Source organism: Homo sapiens, chromosome 1 (assembly GCF_000001405.40).
Source record: "Homo sapiens chromosome 1, GRCh38.p14 Primary Assembly".
Classification (NCBI taxonomy): domain Eukaryota; kingdom Metazoa; phylum Chordata; class Mammalia; order Primates; family Hominidae; genus Homo; species Homo sapiens.
The window spans coordinates 153121720-153142998 of NC_000001.11; the positions used below are offsets into that span (position 1 = coordinate 153121720).

Genomic DNA, 21279 nt, shown 5'->3' on the forward strand with positions numbered 1-21279 from the left:
CCTTTGGGAGACTGAGGTGGGTGGATTGTTTGAGGCCAGGACTTTGAGACCATCCTGGGCAACATAGTGAAACCTCATCTTTACCAAAAATACAAAAATTAGCCAGGGGGTGGTGGCATACACTTGTAGTCTCTGCTACTCAGGAGGCTGAGGTGGGAGGATTGCTTGAGCCCAGGAGGTCAAGACTTCAGTGAGTTGAGATAGTGCCACTGCACTCCAGCCTGGGCAATAGAACAAGACCCTGTCTTAAAACAAACAAAAAAGGCCGGGCGCGGTGGCTCAAGCCTGTAATCCCAGCACTTTGGGAGGCCGAGGCGGGTGGATCACGAGGTCAGGAGATCAAGACCATCCCGTCTAAAACGGTGAAACCCCGTCTCTACTAAAAATACAAAAAATTAGCCAGGCGTAGTGGCGGGCACCTGTAGTCCCAGCTGCTTGGGAGGCTGAGGCAGGAGAATGGCGTGAACCCGGGAGGCGGAGCTTGCAGTGAGCCGAGATCCCACCACTGCACTCCAGCCTGTGCGACAGAGCGAGACTCCGTCTCAAAAAAAAAAAAAAAAAAAAAAAAATAGTCAATAAACTAGAGATAGAAAGAAACTTCTTCAAACTGATAAAGGCCATATATGAAAAAGCCCTGCTAACATCAAACTTATTGGTGAAAGATCAAAAGCTTTTCCTTTAAGATCAAAAACAAGATGGGGATGCCCACTTTCTCAACTTCTAGTCAACATACTATTGAAAGTTCTAGTCAGTGCAATTAAGTAAGAAAAAATAAAAGGCATCCAAGTTGGAAAAGAAGAAATAAAATATTTCTGTTGACAGATAATATAATCTTGCATGTAAAAAAACTCTAAAATATTATCCCAAAATCCCCATTAGAGCTAATAAACATATTAAGAAAAATGAAGATTTGCTTCAATAAAGTTTTCTTCTATACTACCAACTCCTACACATAAATAAGAAAAAAAATCCTAATAAAAATTATGTAAAAGGCATGGGAAATTTTTTACAAATAAAGAAACAGTCAAGTGAAATACAGGGGAGAGGAAGCAGCAGAAAGAGCCCTGTGGACACTCTCAGTCCCCAAGGAAGACATTTCTGACTTTGTCTCACAGGAGTCCTTGAGGAGGGCTGCCAGTGGAAGTGGGGAAAGACCACAGACAGAAGGAAACTTCCAGCTGAACTTTGTAACAATTTCAACTGAACATGAAGTTTCCTGGACGGAACCCGGGGGAGGGGGTGAATGTGAGCACAGCAGCTGCAGCAGACAGGGAGGTGTGAAACCTGAGAGCCCTGCTTACTTTCTCAGCAGGAAGGCTTGTAGCCAGAGGCAAATTCTCAGCCCTGCTCACCTGCTGCCTGGAAGTAAACCCAGTGCTATTAGGGAGGCACAGTGGGAGTGAGTGAGACCAGTTTTTCAGGCTGCATGGGAGCTGAATGAGGCCTGTAACTGCTGGCTTTCCCCCACTTCCCTGGTGACCTGTACAACACAGCAGAGGCAGCCATAATACCCCTGGGAACATAACTCCATTGGCCTGAGAACCACACCTCATCCCCACACAGCAGCTGCAGCAAGCCTCACCCAAGAAGAGTGTGAGCTAAGACATGACTAATCCTACCCTAACCTGATGGTCTTTCCCTACCCACACTGGTAGCCGAAGACAAAGGACATAATCTCTTGGAAGTTCTCTGGCCCTGCCCACTGCCTGAGAAAACGAAATACTTATCTGGTATCGGGGGAAATTCACCCCAGATATTTCACATAGGTTCTTTTCTATTTTCCCTAAGTGTCAGCTTGTCTGAGAAATAAAGGGACAGAGTACAAAAGAGGGAAATTTTAAAGCTGGGTATCTGGGGGAGACATCACATGTCAGCAGGTTCCGTGATGCCCCCTGAGCTGTAAAACCAGCCAGTTTTTATTAGGGATTTTCAAAAGGGGAGGGAGTATACGAATAGGGTGTGGGTCACAGAGATCACATGCTTCACAAGGTAATAAAATATCACAAGGCAAATGGAGGTAGGGTGAGATCACAGGACCCCCAGGACCAGGGCAAAATTAAAATTGCTAATGAAGTTTTGGGCATGCATTGTCATTGATAACATCTTATCAGGAGACAGGGTTTGAGAGCAGACAACCAGTCTGACCAAAATTTATTAGGCAGGAATTTCCTTGTCCTGATAAGCCTGGGAGCGCTATGGGAGACCGGGGCTTATTTCACCCCTTAACGACAACCATAAAAGACAGCCATCCCAAAGCGTCCATTACAGAGGCCTCCCCTTAGGGACGCATTCTCTTTCTCAGGGATGTTCCTTGCTGAGAAAAAGAATTCAGCGATGTTTCTCCTATTTGCGTTTGAAAGGAGAGAAATATGGCTCTGTTCCGCCTGGCTCACAGGCAGCCAGAGTTTAAGGTTATCTCCCTTGTTCCCTGAACATTGCTGTTATCCTGTTCTTTTTTCAAGGTGCCCAGATTTCATATTGTTCAAACACACATGCTCTACAAAACATTTGTGCAGTTAACGCAATCATCACAGGGTCCTGAGGCAACATACATCCTCCTCAGTTTACAAAGATGACAGGATTAAGAGATTAAACTAAAGACAGGCATAGGAAATCATAAGGGTATTGATTGGGGAAGTGATAAGTGTCCACAAAATCTTCACAATTTATGTTCAGAGATTGCAGTAAAGACAGGTGTAAGAAATTATAAAAGTATTAATTTGGGGAACTAATAAATGTCCATGAAATCTTCACAATTTATGTTATTCTGCCATGGCTTCAGTCGGTCCCTCCATTCGGGGTCCCTGACTTCCTGTAACAATCCAGGCAACCCTGGGGCAAGCTTGTATCTCCCCTATACTACTGCAGCTGATGCTGTCTGGAAAGTGCCACCTCCTGTTTGGAGGCCAACAAAACACAAAACCAGCATGCTAAACAAAACTACAAGTAAGGACCCTCACAGAGTCTACTTCACTCCTCTGCTACCTCCACTAGAGCAAGTGCTGGTATCCATGGCTGAGAGACCTGAAGGTGGATCACATTACGGGACCCTGCAGACACTCCCCAGTACCAGGCTGGAGCCCAGTAGGTCTGCTGGGTGGCTAGATCTAGAAGAGAGATAACAATCACTGCAGTTTGGCTCTCAGGAAGCCACATCTCTAGTGGAAGTAGGAGAGCACCAAATCAAGGCAGCACCCCATGGGACAAAAGAATCTGAACAGCAGCCCTTGAGCTCCAGATCTTCCCTCTGACATGATCTACCCAAGTGAGAAGTAATCAAAACAATTCTGGTAACATATCAAAACAAGGTTCTTTAACACCCCCAAAAGATCACACTAGCTCACCAACAATGGATACAAACCAAGAAAAAAATCTCTGAATTGCCAGAAAAAGAATTCAGAAGCTTGATTATTAAGCTACTCAAGGAGGCACCAGAGACAGGTGAATACCAACTTAAAGAAATTTGTAAAGCGTTACAGGATATGGATTAAAAAATCTCCAGAGAAACATATAGCATAATTAAAAAACAATCACAACTTCTGGAAATGAAGGACACATTAAGAGAAATGTAAAATACAATGGAAATTCCCAGCAATAGAATTGAACAAGTAGAAGCAAGAACTTCAGAGCTCAAAGACAGGGCTTTTGAATTAACCCAATCCAACAAACAGAAAGAAAAAAGAATTTTAAAAAATGAGCACAGCCTTCAAGAAGTTTGGGATTATGTTAAATTACCAAACCTAAGAATAATTTGTGCTCCCAAGGAAAAAGAGGAATCTAAAAATTTGGAAAACATATTTGAGGGAATAATCCAGGAAAACCCCCCTGGCCTTACTAGAGATCTAGACATGCAAATACAAGAAGCTCAAAGAACACCTGAGAAGTTGATTGCCAAAAGATCATCACCTAGACACATAGCCATCAGGTTATCTAAAGTCAAAACAAGAAAGAATCTTAAGAGCTGTGAGGCAAGAGCATCGGGTAACCTACAAAGGAAAACCTATCAGGTTAACAGCAGATTTCTCAGTAGAAACACTACAAGCTAGAAGGGATTGGGGTTCTATCTTTAGCCTCCTTAAACAAAATAATTATCAGCCAAGAATTTTGTATCCAGCAAAACTAATCTTCATAAGTGAAGTCTTTTGCAGACAAATGCTGAGAAAATTCACCACTACCAAGCCAGCACTACAAGAACTGCTAAAAGGAGCTCTCAATCTTGAAACAAATCCTCAAAATATACCAAAATAGAATCTAATCTCCTTAAAGCACAAATCTCACAGGACATATAAAACAACACAATGAAGAAAAAAAAGGTATTCAGGCAACAAATAGCATGATGAATAGAATAGTATCTCACATCTCGATACTAACATAGAATGTAAATGGCCTAAATGCTCCACTTAAAAGATACAGAATGGCAGATTTTAGACCAAATCTATGTAGGTTACAAATGGGAGCAGTTTTATCAGCAGTCAGGTAGACAGGCTGCTGATAAAACTGCTCCCATTTGTAACCTACATAGATTTGGCTTCTTTAAAGGTCACAAATGGTTTTAGCTGGGGATGAAATGCCTTCCCTTAGCCTTCTTCACATTAGTAAACATAAGAGCACCCTGCCTTACAGTCATAACCAGGACCCTTGGAGCTTTGATAAAAACTGCACTGTCTTATACCACCAAGAATCTTCCAGAATCTCAAGAAATTCTCCATCTAATTAGGTCTGCAAGGGGCTTGGTCTTTGGCTGGTAAGATGGAGGTTTTCTGTTCGTATCTGCTGAAGTATGGTACAGTATTAAGTCTTACAGGTCTTCCACAAGCTGACTTATCTTGATTGCTCCAAACATTAAAGGGCAAATAGAGTTTGGCTTATTACTTCCCATCTTTTCTCATGCTATCTTCAAAAAGTTCTATCCATTAACCTCATCATTTAGTATGCCAATGAGCAATTATATTTATGTACTTTTATTAACTATTTTTTGAATATATTTTGGTTATTTTGGTTAAATATATTTTGGTTATTAATAATGGTGAGATGTTCTTCATTAGGTTGTGATTAACTTTGCATTATTATTAACTACCTTTCATTTAAGAAGTTCACTATGAATTATCATTGCTTCAAAATGTTATTGATGTTCATATTTGTTAACATTGTTCCCAGTTAGCACACAATTTGAAGGGATTAAGTGTCATCTGTGTAATTTTTATTTTCTCCATAAAATAGAGCAGCAGATAGAACAGAGAAAATATCAGGCAGGTCCTCAAGAGACCTTAGTTCTGGCCCCAGGTCAATCATTGAGAAGCAGGGTCTCCTTGGCCAGTCTTGCCCAGGATCTTTTTCTGAGCAATGGAGATGAGGTGTAGGTGAGGATGACACAGGAGTTTTCACTGACCCTGCTCCAGTCTCAATGACTCTACACATTTTCTTCCTCTCACAGAGCCTTCTCTATAGTCTATGATCCCTTTTCTTTAAATGCTCATTTCTTGCCTAAACCTTGAGAGCATCTCTCATTAGGATTCATTACAGAATGGGATTCTGGCTTTTCAGCACTCTTCTACTTTGCTGCCCTCAGAATGAAGACTAGAGTTCTTTTTTTTTCAAGATTTAACTATTTTTCATTCTTGTATAGAAAAATAAAATGTAAACCAAAATCCCAAGCATTCCTTCATTGACAAATTGATAAGCCACATGTGCTCTACAACAAAGATCATGACTATATCCCTGCCTTTTCACATACTTGCAGGCTAGTGAGAGAGACAGACCACAACAGCACAGGTTATAACAAGTATTTCCTGAGATGGCTGCTAGGGACCTCTGCTCTCTGCTTCCGTTCTGGAGAATGTGATCTTCCTGCTTTCAGCTAATAACTCCTGATCAATCCTTCTTTTGTCATGGGCTTTCTCCCAACACCTAACACTGCGGTTGCAACTATTCCAAAACAATAGGTTCCAACTAATTTCCCCTCAGGCACCTATTATAACTTGTATTTCTCAGCTTTTTTATTTTCTTATAGTTTCCAACACTTAACGAGACACTTAATGGAGTTGATTTAGAATAGTATGAAAATGCTTTTGGAATGGGCAAATCACCTGACCATCCAGGGGAAGCTGATCTAAGGGTAGACCTGTGTCAGCTAGAAATCAAGCACAGAATAAAATATATTAACTATAAGGAAACATTTTGACTCAATCTTGACCTTTTCCCATTTTCACACATATTTTTAAATCAGTTTATTTAGTTGGGTTTTTAATTAGGATTTGGTTTAAATCCAGACATCAACGTGGGAGAAAGTTGATGCTTCCACAATTTTGAGTCATGAATTCACACACATGGTTGTCACTCTATTTCTACACAAGAAAATGTTGCACAAATTTTGTTAGATTTATTTCTATGTCCTTCACATATTTTTACACATTGATTCATATTATACAATTTTATTTTCTAAGTGTTTGCTCTAACATGCAGGAACAGAGTTGTTTTGGTTCCTGATTTTGAATCCAGCACTTTTTTAAACCCTCATATTAATTATAATAGTTTATTTGTAATTCTTTTACATTTTAATCTACAGATTATCTTTTACAAATAGTAATAATTATTTTTATTTTGTTGTTTTTGGTTGCTATTATTGTTTACCTTTCTAATCCCTATTCTTTGCATTTCTTTTCTCTTACCTTAACTGCATTGTTGAGCACCTTCAGCACAATTTTGAGTAGACACAGGGAGAACACCCATGTGGATAAAGCTTTCACTAGATGACCAATAAGAATAATATTTGTGATAGGCTTTTTGTAGGTGTCTCTTGTTTAGATTAAATAAAATCTTTTCCAGTGCTAGTTTACTAAGCACTTTTTTCTTTTTTCTTTTTTTTTTTTTTTTTTTTTGGCTAAACCATGAATAGAGGTTGATTTTTATCAATCATTTCATTCTTTTTTTTTTTTTGAGACAGAGTCTCACGCTGTTGTGGTGCAATCTCAGCTCACTGCAACCTCCGCCTCCTGGGTTCAAACAATTCTCCTACCTCAGCCTCCTGAGTAGCTGGGACTACAGGCACCTGCCACCAGGCCCAGCTGATTTTTGTATTTTTTGCATTTTTAGTAGAGACAGGGTTTCACCATGTTGGCCAGGCTGGTCTAGAACTCCTGGCCTCAAGTTATCTGCCCGCCTCAGCCTCCCAAAGCGCTGAGATTACAGGCATGAGTCACTGCACCTAGCCAATCATTTTATTCTACTGCATGAAAGGATCATCTGATTTTTTTTCTTTCATCTTTTATGTTCTGAAAAACATCCTGGTCAGGCATGGAATCGCAGTTTTGTTAGCCCCATATCAGGAATTGTTGAATATGCTTTTTTTACTTTTACATAACAATTTATAATTAATTGAAAGTTTGAAATTATTTCTTCTTTTAATATATGTGGTAGATCAATGGTAAAACCTTCTGGTCCAGAATTTTCCATACAAAAGTATGTTTTAGTACTACTTCAATTATATTTAGTTACTGGGTAGTTCAGTATTTTGTTTCTTTCTGAGTTCATTTTTTTAAGTTAGCTGTTTAATTAAATTGTCTATTTTATATAAATTTTCTAATCTATTATCATAAAATTGTTCTTAATATCTTCCTGTTATCTTTATAATTTCTGCTCCCTTTATATGTTCCTTTTTCATTCCTGATGGTGACCTTCAATCTAATCAGATATATGACACTTTGATTTATTTATTTTCTCCAAAGTGTGCTTTGTACTTCTTTCCTTTCTATTTTCATCTTTATTATTTTTTACCTTAGCATTTACTTTCCTTTGCCTTCTCTAAAATTATAAGATGAGAACTTTACTTAATATTGTACCTTTTACTTTTCTGACATAAGTATTTAATGGTATTCAATTTTTCTAGAAGTAACTTTAGCTACTTTCCACACGTTTGATAAATAACTTAAGATGCCATTTTCATTAAAATACCCCGGTGTTTTCGGTATCTGTCTGTCATCATAACTCTTATGATTTCTAGTCTGTTTTAAAATTGCATTCCCAAGAAGAGAAAGCCTATTTCTCCACACACAGTAATAAAGTGAGAAATTTTCAAAATACAAAGTAGTGTTTTAGTCGTGAGCAAAACAAACTAATGACTAACAGAGAGTTTAGAGAGCTGAACCAAGACTTGAACTCTGTAGATCTAAATTCTGTAAAGGAATGTGGGTTTTGTCTTAAATGAGCTTTGTGAACGCTGAATATAAGGGGCTTCCCCTTTAACTTGCCTCTCATTCTTCTCCTTCCTGCCACCATATGAAGAAGGACATGTTTGCTTTTTCCTTCCACCACGATTGTAAGTTTTCTAAGGCCTCCCCAGTCCTGCAGAACTGTGAGTCGGTTAAGTCTTTTATAATTTCTCTTTCCTTTATAAATTATCCAGTCTCAGCTCTTTCTTCATGGAAGCATGAGAACGGACTAATACAAGACCCAATTAATACAAATTAATTAAGCATTTATATAATCTATTTTCCCTAATTCTGACCAACTCTCCTCTTATTCAGTGGTGCCTTCAGTTGTTAAAAAAAAAAAAATCCAATTGATCCTGCTAGAGCATCTTGGCCCACCCAGATTATCAGGGCTCACCCCTGGAATGCAGTTTTCTAAGAGGAGAAGGAAGAATAGGAGGATAAAGGGACTTGGAGGAGGTATTGCTGGGAATGTGACTCTTGGATTCCAGCTGAGCTCCAGGCACAGCTTCAGGTAGGGCTACCTCCTCCATCAGGACAGCAGGTCCCAGGATTCTCCAGGGCTCATAGTGTTGCCTTAGAGGAGATTTTATATGAAATTATTGACCATGGTTACTGAGAGACAAAGTCACCACACTCAACAGCTTGAAAATAGTTATCTATTAATAATTTTATTACTACCTGGTCCTCAAATGCCATGCCATTTACTGCTATATAATCCAAGTGGCTTCAGAGAACAAAAGCAACAGTTTTATATGATACCTAAAGCATACTCCTTTTGTTTTTTTAGGATATTTTTTAAAATTTAGTTTTGTAGTCTAAAATTTGAGTGGCAGCTATTCACTCAAATTTTGAGTGAATAGCTGAAATAATTTGATTGCTGAAATAATCAAGCCAGTTGTGGTCTCATCTAGGAGACTATAATCCGTGTGGACAGCCACCTAGAAGCAAACTTCTGGCCATGGTAGCACAGACTGTGTCATCATTCCAGGTTCTGTGGCCAAGCCCCCCAAACAGGAATCACGTAGTGAAGTTCAAAGAAACTTCCAAAAGGTGCAGCAAAAGAAAGAAAAGAAAAACATAAGAGAAAACATCAAGATAATAGAGACCCAATGCAGAAGATCTAACTTCCAGTCAATAGAAATTTCAGAAATAGAGAAAGAAAAAAATAGATGCTATGAAATCAATTTTAAAAAATCCTAGGTAATTACCTGGATCTAAAAGACACAAGGATTCCAGATGAGAAGCCCAATTGACTGCCAGTGCATGTTTTAAAAATGACTCATTAAATGTGAAATTTTGAAGCAACATGTAAAGAAACAATTCCAAATCTTCTGAGGAAGCTTCTTTAAAAATAAAAACTGGCAGTGTTCAATACCTAAGTATAATGGAACAGAAATCTTCAAAGATTAGACACAAAAAGGATTTCAATCCAAAATTCAAATGTTACAGTAGAATAGAGCCACTCTCCGATATGAAAGGACTCAAAAACATGTTTCAGCTGTCCTTTCTTAAGTAATACAGGAAAATCAGGAGATAAACCAAGAAGGAAGAAAATACAAGAACCAACAAAAAGTGGCTTCAACCCATATTAAAGAAAAAACAAATATTCCAGGTTGACAGTTATGCAGGAGGTCAAGGAGCAACCAGTCTGGATTTATCTAGGGGGAAGCTGTCCTTCAGTAGGGAAGAGTCCAGGAAAAATGAGTCAATCAAAATATTTAATATCATTTTAAATACATTTTTAACAATTCAGAGCAATTTAAGGAAGAAATATAAAATAAGGCAAGAGAAAAGGAGAAAGAAAGTGATAGAGAAAAGGAAATATAGTCACTAACTGGCCTGTCAGTGAATAATATTTAGAAGCCATAATAATTAAAAAACTGTATTGATCCTCAACTTTACAATGAACCTATAGACTAAGCATGATAATAGAATACAATATTTGTATTTTAAGCTAGACTACTATAGCTGAACAATACTGAAATACCAAAAAGAAAAAACTTCTCAGTGGCTTACAGTAACAAAGACTGATTTCTCATTCACGTATGTCTTTTGTGAATTCATTGCAATTCTTTTACAGATTGTCTCTATTCAGAATCTAATCAAAGGAGCTGGGTCTATCTGATACATGCTATTCTCACGGCAGAGGAGACAGAGAGCACTTTCCCAACCCCTTGAATCAGAGCTGGCCTGTGACTTTCTGTGGCCAAGAGAAGGTGGTGGATATGATGTGTGCCAGTAGAAGCCCAAGCCCTTGCAAACTTCTGCCCTCTCTCCAAATCTCACCACCATGGAAACATGTGGAGACTAAAGTGTGGAATTAGGAGAAGCCACATGGAGAAGAGCTTTAACACCTGGAGGCCATCCAGGACCAGCTGATCACAAGTGCATGAGGGGGTTGGGCTGAGATCAGCTACTGAGGCCAGACTGGTACAGCAGACCTTCCAGCTAACACTAAGACCTGTGAGCAAAAATAAATGCTTATTGATAAATGCTGCTGTGATTTGTTGGTTATTTGTAATGCGGTATTAATATGGTGATAGATATCTGATACTTGTGATAGCAAGAATTAAAGATATTCTAAAATTAATAAATCAAAACCAGAAATAGATATGTTATTTAGCTGTATGGAACTAATAATCAAAATAACTAAATGTAAAACAAAAACGAAAAAATTAGGAGTATTTCCTACTGGGAAGCAGAACTGAATATGAGAAAAACTATTGCTGTTTTTCTCTGTGGGCACGTCTGAATAATTTTTTTTCTGACTTTTCAAGGTCTAGACTTTTATTTATTTTAGACTGTTTTTCAAAATATCTTTAATTTGTATAACAACTTTACAATTAAAACCCAAGACAAACGGAGTGACATCATTTACGTGGTGGATTAGATTATTCTGGCCTTCATAACTCCACAGAAACACCAATTTTGATCGCCTTCCATAGACATAAATATTTCTTTGAGAATCCAGGAGTCCAGTGGAGAGATTCCAGCATCACACTGAAAAAAAAATTTGAGAATAGTGAATAATTTTGTTAATATAACCATCTAATACCTTTTAAAAATTCAGAGATTTGGAGGGCTTCAAGCGATTTGGCTGACTAGTGGCAGCTGGTACTCACCTCTCCCATGAAGAAGAACCAAAATAGCTAGTATATAATCACACTTCAAATAGATCATCTAAGACAGAACATTGGAATTCAAATAGAGAAGTGACAAGAAACCTTTAAAGCAGGAAAGAGAGAGAAGTGCGGTAACCTGCTCAGTCAGGATGGCTGGGAGCCTGAAGAGAATTCTCAACCCAAAAAAAGGGTAATGGAGAGATCCCCAGGGATTCACATCCCTTCTGCAGACTCCTGCAATCCTAGCCATGGGAGAACCTCTCAATGCCCTCAGGCCCTGAGACTAACGTAGGGAGCTGCCTGGAGACCATGAAACAGCACCACTCCAGAGATGAATCTCACACTGTATCCCACACACCCCCAAGTCATAAGCAGCTAAGCAAGGCACCATAGTGAGAGTCTAGTCCCCCCTAGACTACCTCCTACCCTCAGGCCCAACCACCCCTGCATCTCCACCTCCCTGGAGTCCCATTGACATGCTTCATCTAGAGCCATGACTGCAGTTGCCTGCAGCCACCATAGCTGAAACACAAGCCATTGGCAATGACACACTGCCCCAGCAGCAGCACTGCCATGCATTTTTACATGCCCCAAAGTCAGACTCCCCTGCCTGCAGTGACCACCACTGCTGGCTGCCTCCACTGAAGCATGGGCCACTGGCCGTGACTCCACTGCCTCCAGTACTGGAATTGCCATGCATTCAAAAGTGTCTTGAGGAAAGAATCTCTCACCCACAACTACCATCTGGGGCAAAAGTGCACACTTTTGAGCCAGCTACCTACAGTTGTTGCCACAGAAAGCAGCCCAGCCCTCCCCAGTAGCAGGGCTATAGCACATTCCACCAGGGACCTGAGAATCACCTCGCCCCTGTGCACCACAGCTAGCATGTACATGGACTACCAGGGAGCCTGAGGACATGTCCTTCTCACCTAGCTCCACCCTGTCCCCCGTGTGGCTAAGCATGCCTTCCAGGAACCTGGAGGTCACCCAGCCCTATGTACCACTGTTGCCTCCTGAATACTCCTCCCAGGGGCCTGAGAATGGGGCAGCCAAACCTGCCATTACCACCACAGCTGACACATACCTGCACACACCAACTACAGGCATTGGAACTGGGCCACCAGGGCCATCACAGCCACCACCAAGAGTAGACCAGTTGGGAACCAGAGGGTGGTTCTGCCACTGCTACTGGCATTGCCCATGCCACACTGGTTACCTAGAGCCCCAACGATCTGCCCAACCTCCTGGCCTACTGCTGCCACTATTAGCACCGGAGAAAGTTGCCTGGAGACCCAAAAATTGGCCCCCCTGTACCTACTACCATGGGTGCCATCATATGCTACCCTGGGGCCCAAGGACAGGTATGCTCAGCCCCCCACTGCCACCACTAGAAACCAAGAACTGGCTCACCTGGCATCCCTTTACCTGCAAAACTTCTCCACAGATTACACTAACACCCTTAGCCACTGAGGAAATCACAGACACCAATGACACTGTTCACAGCTTAAGAATCACAAGGAGACAACATTTCTGTATGTACCCAGAATCAAAGCCAAAATCTCTACCCAACCAATATCATACATCTTCAGAAAAAAAGTTGTTTCCTACCAAAGCAAATTCAAAAATTTAGGAGAAGCAACTGTTAGATCAGATGAACAGATATCAATGTAAGGACATAAGAAATAAGAAATAGCAATGATATATTATACCTCCAAAAAAATGATAATTCTCCAGCAGCAGATTCCATTGGGGAAAAATTATGAAATATTATAAAATAAAACAAAATAATGATATTAAAGAAGCTCAGTGAAGCCAGTGTGGTTGCACATTCCTGTAGTCCCAGCTATGCCAGAGGTTGAGAAGCAGGGATTACTTGAGCCCAAGAGGTCAAGTCTACCTTGGGCAACATAGTGAGACACGGTATCTAAAATAATAATAAAAGTTCAGTGAGATACGAGAGAACACAGATAAACAACACAAAGAAATCAAAAAAGAAATTCAGAATATAAATGTGAAATTTACCAAAGAAATTGGTATAATAATATAGAACAAAAAAGAAATTCTACAACTAAAGAATTCATTGAATGAAAGAAAGTAAATATTGTTGAAAGTTTTGACAATAGACTAGGCCAAGTAGAATAAAGAATTTCAGGAATTTAATGTAGGTCTTTTGAAATAACCCAGTCAGATAAACATTTTTTTAAGAATTTTTTTTAAAAAGAGAACAAAACCTATGTGGCATATAGGAAACATAAAGCAACCAAATATTCAGGTTTTCAATGTCTCAGAAGGTGAAGAGGAAACAAAAGTGGTAGAAAACCTATTTAACAGAACAATAACCGAAAATGTCTGGAATGTAGCAAAAGATGCAGACATCCAGTTACAGGAAACTCAGAAATAAATAGATACAATTTCAAAAGATCTTCTTCACAATGAATTATCATTAAATTATCAAAGGACAAAGATAAAGAGAGAATTCTAAAAACAGCAAGAGAAAAGGATCTAGTCACTTATAAGGCAATCCCCATGAAAGTAACAGTGGATTGCTCAGCAGAAACCTTACAGGCAAGAAGACAGAGGATGATATATTCAAAGTGCTGGGGAAAAGAAACAAGGATACTATACCCCCTAAAGTTATCCTTTATAAATGAAGGAGAAATAAAGTCTTTCTCAGACAATCAAAAACTGAGGGACTTCATCATCACTAGCCCAGTCCTACAAGAAATATTAAAGGGAGTCATGCCTGGAAGAAAAAAAAATGGTATCCATGACGATGACAACACACGGGAGTATAAAACCCACTGGTAGAGCAAACACAGAAGAGAAAGAACTGAAATGTTACCACTATAGAAAATCACCAAATTACAATGATAAACAATAAGAGACAAAGATAGGACCAAAGATACACAAAATAACCAAAAACTAATTAATAAAATGACACTAATAAGCCCTCACATCTCAATAATGACCTTGAATGTAAATGGATTAAACTTTCCACTTAAAATACATAGACTGGCTGAATGGATAAAAAGCATGACACAACTATATGCATCCAAAAAGAAACTTATCTAATCTGTAAAGACACATATAGACTGAAATTATAAAAGCATAGAAAAAGATATAACAATTATAAATCCAGGCACACCCAATACTACAGCACCTAGATATTCAAGACAATTATTATTAGATCTAAGGGAGAGAGAGAATCCAATATAATAATAATTAGAAACTTGAATGATCCACTCTCAGTATTAGAGAGATCATCTAGACAGAAAATTAAGAAAGAAACTTTAAACTGCACATTTAACAAAATGGACCTAACAGATATTTGCAGAATATTTCATCCAACAACCACAGAATGTACATTCTTCTCATCAGCACATGAAAACTTCTCCAGGACAGAACATACGTTAGGATGCCAAACAAGTCTAAAAAAAGTTTTAAATATTGAAATCATATCAAGTATCTTCTTGGAATAAAACCAGAAACTGATCACAATGGGATAAAACTATAAATCAATAATGAGGAATTTTGGAAACCGTACAAATACATGGAAATAGAACAACATGCTCATGAATGACCGTTAGGTCATGAAAAAAAATAAAAGAAGGAAATAAAAAAATTTCTTAAAACAAATGACTATTGAAGCTATGGATTACATAAAAACAGTGCTAAGTGAGAATTTTACAGCATTAAATGCTTACATCAAAAAAGCAGAAAGATTTTAAATAAACAATGTCACCCAAGAAACTAGGAAAGCAAGAGCAAACCAAACCCAAAATTGGAGAAGAAAAGAAATAATGAAGACCAGAGCAAAACTAAACAAATTAGATACTAAAAAAAAAAAAACAACAACAACAACAAAAAAAAAACCACACACACAAAGAAATAATGAACAAAAAGTGAAATAATGAACAAAAAGTTGGTTTGTTAGGAGATAAATAAAACTGCTAGCTAAAATAACCAAGGCGGGGGGAAGAAAAGACACAAATGAACAAAAACAAAGAAAAAAGAAAAAAATCACAATTGAAACCACAGAAATACAAAAGATCTTACTATAATAAACAATGATATACTAAAAAACTGGAAAATGTAGAGGAAATAGATAAATTCCTGAATACATACAACCTACCACAATTGAATCAGGAAGAAATAGAACACTTGTACGGTGTAATGAGATTGGCCAGTAATGAAAAGTCTCCCAACAAAGAAAAGTCCAGGAACAGATGCCTTCATTGCTCAATTCTGCCGAACTTTCAAAGAAAAACTAACATAAATTCTTCCTCAAAGTATTCAAAAAAATTGAAGAGAAGGGAATTCTTCCTAAATCATTCAATGAGGTAAGCATTACTCTGACACCAACATCAGACAAGGACACACACACACAAAAAGAAAACTATAGACCAATTTCCCTGATGAACATACATACAAAAATCTTCAGAAAATTACTATCAAACTGAAATCAACAAAACATCCAAAGATTATATACCATGATTAAGGGGGATTTATCCCAGGGACACAAGGATGGTTTAATACACAGAAACCTATAAACATAAATCACCACATCAATACCATAAAGGAAAAAACATACAATTATTTTGATAGATGAAGAAAAAGCATTTGATAAAATTCAACATCTCTTCATGATACAAACACTCAACAAACTAAGCACAGAAGAAACATACTTCAATGTGATAAAGTCCATGTATGGGAAACACACAGTCAACATCATTCTAAATGAGGAAAACCTGAAAACCTTTCCTCTAAGAACTGAAACAAGACAAGGATGCCCACGTTCATCACTCCTGTTCAATAAGGTACTAGAAGTTCTAGTCAGGACATTCAGACAAGAGAAAACCATCCAAATTGGAAAAGAAGAGGTCAGATTTTTACTCTTTGCAGATGACATGATCTTGTATCTAGAAAAGCAGAAAGACACCACCAAAAAACTCTTAGATTTTATAAATAAATTCAGTAGTTACAAGATACAACATCAAAATAAACATCAATAGCATTTCTATACACCAATAATGCATTAGCTAAGGAAGAAATTATAAAGGCAATCCCATTTACAACACCTACAAAAAAGAAGAATACCCAAGAATAAATTTAACTAAGGAGATGAAAAGTTTTAGAAGGAAAACTACAAAACACTGATGAAAAAAATTAAAGAACACTAAAACAAATTGAAAGATATTCCATACTCATGAAGCAGAAGAACTACTATTGTTAAAATGACCATACTGCCCAAAGCAATCTACAGATTAAATGAATCCATATCAAAATACCAGTGTCATTCTTCACAGAAATAGAAAAAAAAAATTCTAAAATTCATTTGGAACCAAAAAACACCCTGAATAGCCAGAGCAATCCTGAGCAAAAAGAGCAAAGCTGGAGGCATCACACTACCTGACTTCAAAATATGTTACAAGGCTATGGTCAACAAAATAACATGCTATTATATAAAAGCAGATACATAAACCAAAGGAAAACAATAAAGAACCCAAAAATAAACCTCCATATTTACAACCAACTGAATTTGACAAAGATGCCAAGAATATACATTGGGGAAAGGACAAATTTATCAATAAATTGTTCAGAAAAAAATGGAATTCATACGCAGAAGAATGAAACATGGGCTTATATCTCTCATCATATACAAGAGCCAACTCAATATGGATTAAAGACTTAAATGTAAGACCTGAAACTATAGAACTACTAGAAGAACACACAGGAAACATACTCTATGATGTAAGAGTATGCAAGGGGTTTTCGGGTAAGACTTCAAAAGCACAGGTAATAATAGCAATTTCACAAAAAATACTAAAAATAGAACTACCATTCAATTCAGCAATCTAACTACTGTGTGTGTATACAAAGGAAAATAAATCAGTATATCAAAGGGATGCCTGAACTTCCATGGTTATTTCAGCACTATTCACAATAGCAAAGATGTGTAATCAACCTAAGTGCCCATCAACCTAAGTGTCCATCAACGAATGAATGGAAAAAGAAAATATAGTATATATATACAATGAAATACTACTTGGTTGCAAAAAAGAATGAAATCATGTCGTTTGCAACAACATAGATGAAACTGGAGGTCATTATCTTAAGTGAAATAAGTCAAGCACAGGAAGGCAAACATCTCATGTTCTCACTCATATAAAGCTAGAAAAGTCAATATCATGGAGATAGATATCATGGAGAATAGAATGATAAGATACCTGAGGCAGGGAAAGGTATTTGTGGGGGATGGGGGGGATGTTGGTTAATGGGTACAAACAAAAAGATACAAGGAATAAGTTTTAATATTCAACAGTAGAGTAGGGTGACTAGTTTACAACAATGTATTCTATATTTCACAATAGCTAGGAGAGAAAAATTAAAATGTTCCTAACAAAGAAAAATGATAAATACCCCAGGCGATGGATAGTCTAAATTTCCTGATATCCTGACTTGATCATTACACATTCTATTCATGTAACAAGATATCATATGTACCCCGTAATTGTATACAAGTATTATGAATTCTTAAAAAATAGCAATAGAGACTCTTCTTATTTCCTGTATTAGTTATATCCAAGCTACTCTCTTGCTGGAGCAACTATGGTGGTGGTTGTAGTGGTGTAGTGATGCTGGTGATGATGATAATGATGATGATGATGAAGACAAGGATGATATATTCCTGCTAATAAACCTCAATTAAATGACTGCTAATTATGTGTCAAGCATTCTGCCAACCAAATTTCAGATAGTAATTCAATTTTATGCCTTAGACTAGCTTTGTTATGTAAATGTTATTTTGCTCACTTTGCAGTAAAGAGACTGACATTTGGGGAAGTTGAATAATATGTTCCTTGAATCAATCAAAACACTAACTAAGGAAAATAAAACGGGTTTAAAATCACACAGAAATAATCTTTAGTATGACCCAAAATTCCTACAATAATCATGAGAGCCTGGTCCTGGGGACCAACGAAAGATAGAAATAAATCCAAATGATCATATGATATTGTTAATAAAGTAGGTTTAAACAGAAATGAAATATCCATTCACAAAAATATAGGCATAGCTACTTTATTCAGGGAGTGAAAGAAAAGTGACAATTGCACAGATAGTAGAAGCTCATGCCAGGTGACAGACAGAGACAGAAGACATCAAAATAATTCTTTGATGGCACCCAAAGAGAAGCTCTGAAAGGCCGGTACAGCTGAGGACTTCCTTTGCTCAGTCTCCACCTGGACAGTGGCAGCATGGCAGCCTCAGAAAGGAAACATTTTGCTGTCGGGGATCATCATGGGCAGATCACAGGCTAAGGGGAAAGAAGCTCCCTGTGTATCCCTGGATGGCTTTGATGAGAAGATGCAGGTGGAGCTGTGGAACGAGGTGAGCCAATTATCCCTATCCTTTCGTGGTCCTGATGAATTCCGAAGCTGTTACTTGCTCTTGGGTGGACACTTTGGCTGGCAGGGTGGGGAAGGTGTCACCAGAGGATATTTCTGCTGGCACTGCTGAGGTGGGCAGGGCTGTGGACACTTTGGTGGTGGGCAGGGCTCAGGGCACTTCAGGGGTGGACATGGCTCTGGACGCTTTGGCAGGCGGCACACAGGAGGTGGCTGGCAGGGCTGCTTACATTGCTACTGTTGATAAGACATCCTGCTGGAGTCTCAGAATCTGAAAGAAATTATATAACAGGGTTCACAGGAAGGGACTCCTACAAAGAAAAGCCAACGTTTATGTAATACCATGGGCTATTTCTCCAGTCTCCAAAAAATTATTTAAACTCCTAATTCCCTTTTCATGACTCTCTGGTTTCTCCTTTCCACTTTAGCAAATTGCTTTATCAACCCTGGGAAATCCTGTGTTTTCTCATGCAATTTTTCTAAAGAAAATATCTCTGTTATAAAGAATCAAGCATGAAAATAACCACTTCATGAAAGGCAGTCACAAGTTCAGATACTCTGGGCAATCTCAGAAGCTATTCCTATCATCATTATCTGTTGTAAAGCCCCAGTGGGCTGATGGGCAAAGAGCAAAGGGCTGTTTGGGAAGAATTGCAGGCTCTCACACCTGCTAAAACACAAATGTTTGAAAAGGACACCAGAAAGATATAGAAAAAAGGAAAAACACTTTGCTTTTACCTCTTCCTCAAATCAAAGCCTTCCTATTAACTTCGCTGTTCATATGAACACCAAGCTACTTACAAAAAAAAGCTAAAACAATGTGTCATTATGATCTAATCCTAAGGTTCCATCCACTAAGTAGTGTCAAAACTGTCATCAGAGGTTTGGATCAACCATACTTTCTGTCTTCAGATTAAATTCAACTTTTGAGGGCCCAAAGAACAGAGAAATTCAAGTAAGCAGACTCACCAGGTTCTCCAAAGCAGATCGGTGCTCAAGTACCAGGAGTTTAGGAGTCATGAGGCTGAGAACCTCTTCACAGGGCCTGCTGCCCCACCCAGGGGGAAACGGAACTGCCTAAAATGGGCTGGTCCAGTAATGTCCCATCCAAAATGCAAATTTATCCATAACTGGTATGACAGGGAATCTCAAAAAAGGAAATATCCTGTTCTGAGGTCTCCCGCTGGATTAAGTGCTCATGACTCACAGAGGCCCTGCCTTAGCTCTCAGTTTCAGTGACTTATGGCAGAGAGAAAATTGGGGGATTCTCTAACTGGTGGTCCAAGGCTGTCTTTCTTGATTGGGGGAAAGGATCCCTTTCTATCTTAACCTTTCCCTGAATTGTAAAACTTCCTGCTCTGATCCACTTTAGCTGATTTCTATATTGTTGTACATGAACTCAACTCTACCTCTACTCCCTTAGTATAATTTGCCAATTTGCTAGAAGTAATGAGAAACTGAACATAGTTCTATCATTGGCAAGTCCTGTGATCACAGGTAGGTCACTTCTCCTCCCTGGGTTTGAGTCTTTCTGTGTTCACAGGAGAGAATAATACCTGGCTCTGGGTTGGAGACTGTCCACATTGTGCTATTTGTAGACTCTTCTTCAAGCCTGAAATTTTTTCCTCTCTTTTTTTTTTCCTATATAATCCTGGGTTTGACCTATATTCTTTGTGTTTTTAGAGCTGTCTTTTCCACCCAATCCATAGAGGCATTTCTCTGCTAGGACAGATTCCACAGTGGAATCAAGTCCCCTCGGTGTTTTTCCTCCTTGCTGCCCTCAAAGATGTGTACTACAGACCTTTTAAGGAATTAAAAAATGTACTCTTAATCGCCAAATTAAAGAAAGGAGAGAAGTGAACAAAAACCACAAGGAGTCACCTAAAACCTATTTATTGAACCATGCCTGAGACAATGGGGTTTTCTAGATATACAATCATGTCATCTGCAAACCGGGACAATTTGACTTCCTCTTTTCCTAACTGAATACCCTTTATTTCCTTCTCCTGCCTAATTGCCCTAGCCAGAACTTCCAACACTCTGTTGAATAGGAGTGGTGAGAGAGGGCATCCCTGTCTTGTGCCAGTTTTCAAAGGGAATGCTTCCAGTTTTTGCCCATTCACTATGATATTGGCTGTGGGTTTGTCAGAGATAGCTCTTATTATTTTGAGATATGTCCCATCAATACCTAATTTATTGAGAGTTTTTAGCATGAAGGTTGTTGAATTTTGTCAAAGGTCTTTTCTGCATCTATTGAGATAATCATATGGTTTTTGTCTTTGGTTCTGTTTATATGCTGGATTACATTTATTGATTTGCTTATATTGAACCAGCCTTGCATCCCAGGGATTAAGCCCACTTGATCGTGGTGGATAAGCCTTTTCATGTGCTGCTGGATTCGGTTTGCCAGTATTTTATTGAGGATTTTTGCATCAATGTTCACCAAGGATATTGGTCTAAAATTCTCCTTTTTGGTTGTGTCTCTGCCCGGCTTTGGTATCAGGATGATGCTGGCCTCATAAAATGAGTTAGGGAGGATTC

At 38.4% G+C, this 21279-nt stretch overlaps 1 pseudogene across 1 annotated transcript, besides 4 other annotated features; it reads right to left on the bottom strand.

Annotated features, from left to right (window-relative positions):
* Positions 1066–1809: an enhancer, noted in NCBI's record as "OCT4-NANOG-H3K27ac hESC enhancer chr1:153095261-153096004 (GRCh37/hg19 assembly coordinates)". NCBI's record gives its function as "activates a minimal SCP1, AML or CMV promoter by ChIP-STARR-seq in naive and primed H9 embryonic stem cells {active_cell/tissue: H9 hESC(naive and primed)}" and the evidence as "EXISTENCE:reporter gene assay evidence [ECO:0000049][PMID:30033119]".
* Positions 1265–1354: a silencer, noted in NCBI's record as "silent region_1337". NCBI's record gives its function as "represses an Ori minimal core promoter by ATAC-STARR-seq in GM12878 lymphoblastoid cells {active_cell/tissue: GM12878}" and the evidence as "EXISTENCE:reporter gene assay evidence [ECO:0000049][PMID:35858748]".
* Positions 13507–14008: an enhancer, noted in NCBI's record as "NANOG hESC enhancer chr1:153107702-153108203 (GRCh37/hg19 assembly coordinates)". NCBI's record gives its function as "activates a minimal SCP1, AML or CMV promoter by ChIP-STARR-seq in primed H9 embryonic stem cells {active_cell/tissue: H9 hESC(primed)}" and the evidence as "EXISTENCE:reporter gene assay evidence [ECO:0000049][PMID:30033119]".
* On the bottom strand, positions 18397–19813 carry SPRR2C (small proline rich protein 2C (pseudogene); annotated as a pseudogene). The gene is made up of 2 exons (NR_003062.2): positions 19708–19813; positions 18397–19009 (listed from the first exon to the last, which is right to left on the bottom strand). The product of NR_003062.2 is annotated as a small proline rich protein 2C (pseudogene) (transcript).
* Positions 18446–19645: an enhancer, noted in NCBI's record as "CDK7 strongly-dependent group 2 enhancer chr1:153112641-153113840 (GRCh37/hg19 assembly coordinates)". NCBI's record gives its function as "activates an origin of replication core promoter dependent on BRD2, BRD4, P300/CBP, MED14 and CDK7 cofactors, with strong dependence on CDK7, by STARR-seq in HCT116 cells {active_cell/tissue: HCT116}" and the evidence as "EXISTENCE:reporter gene assay evidence [ECO:0000049][PMID:35650434]".
* Positions 19814–21279: the final 1466 nt, after the last annotated feature.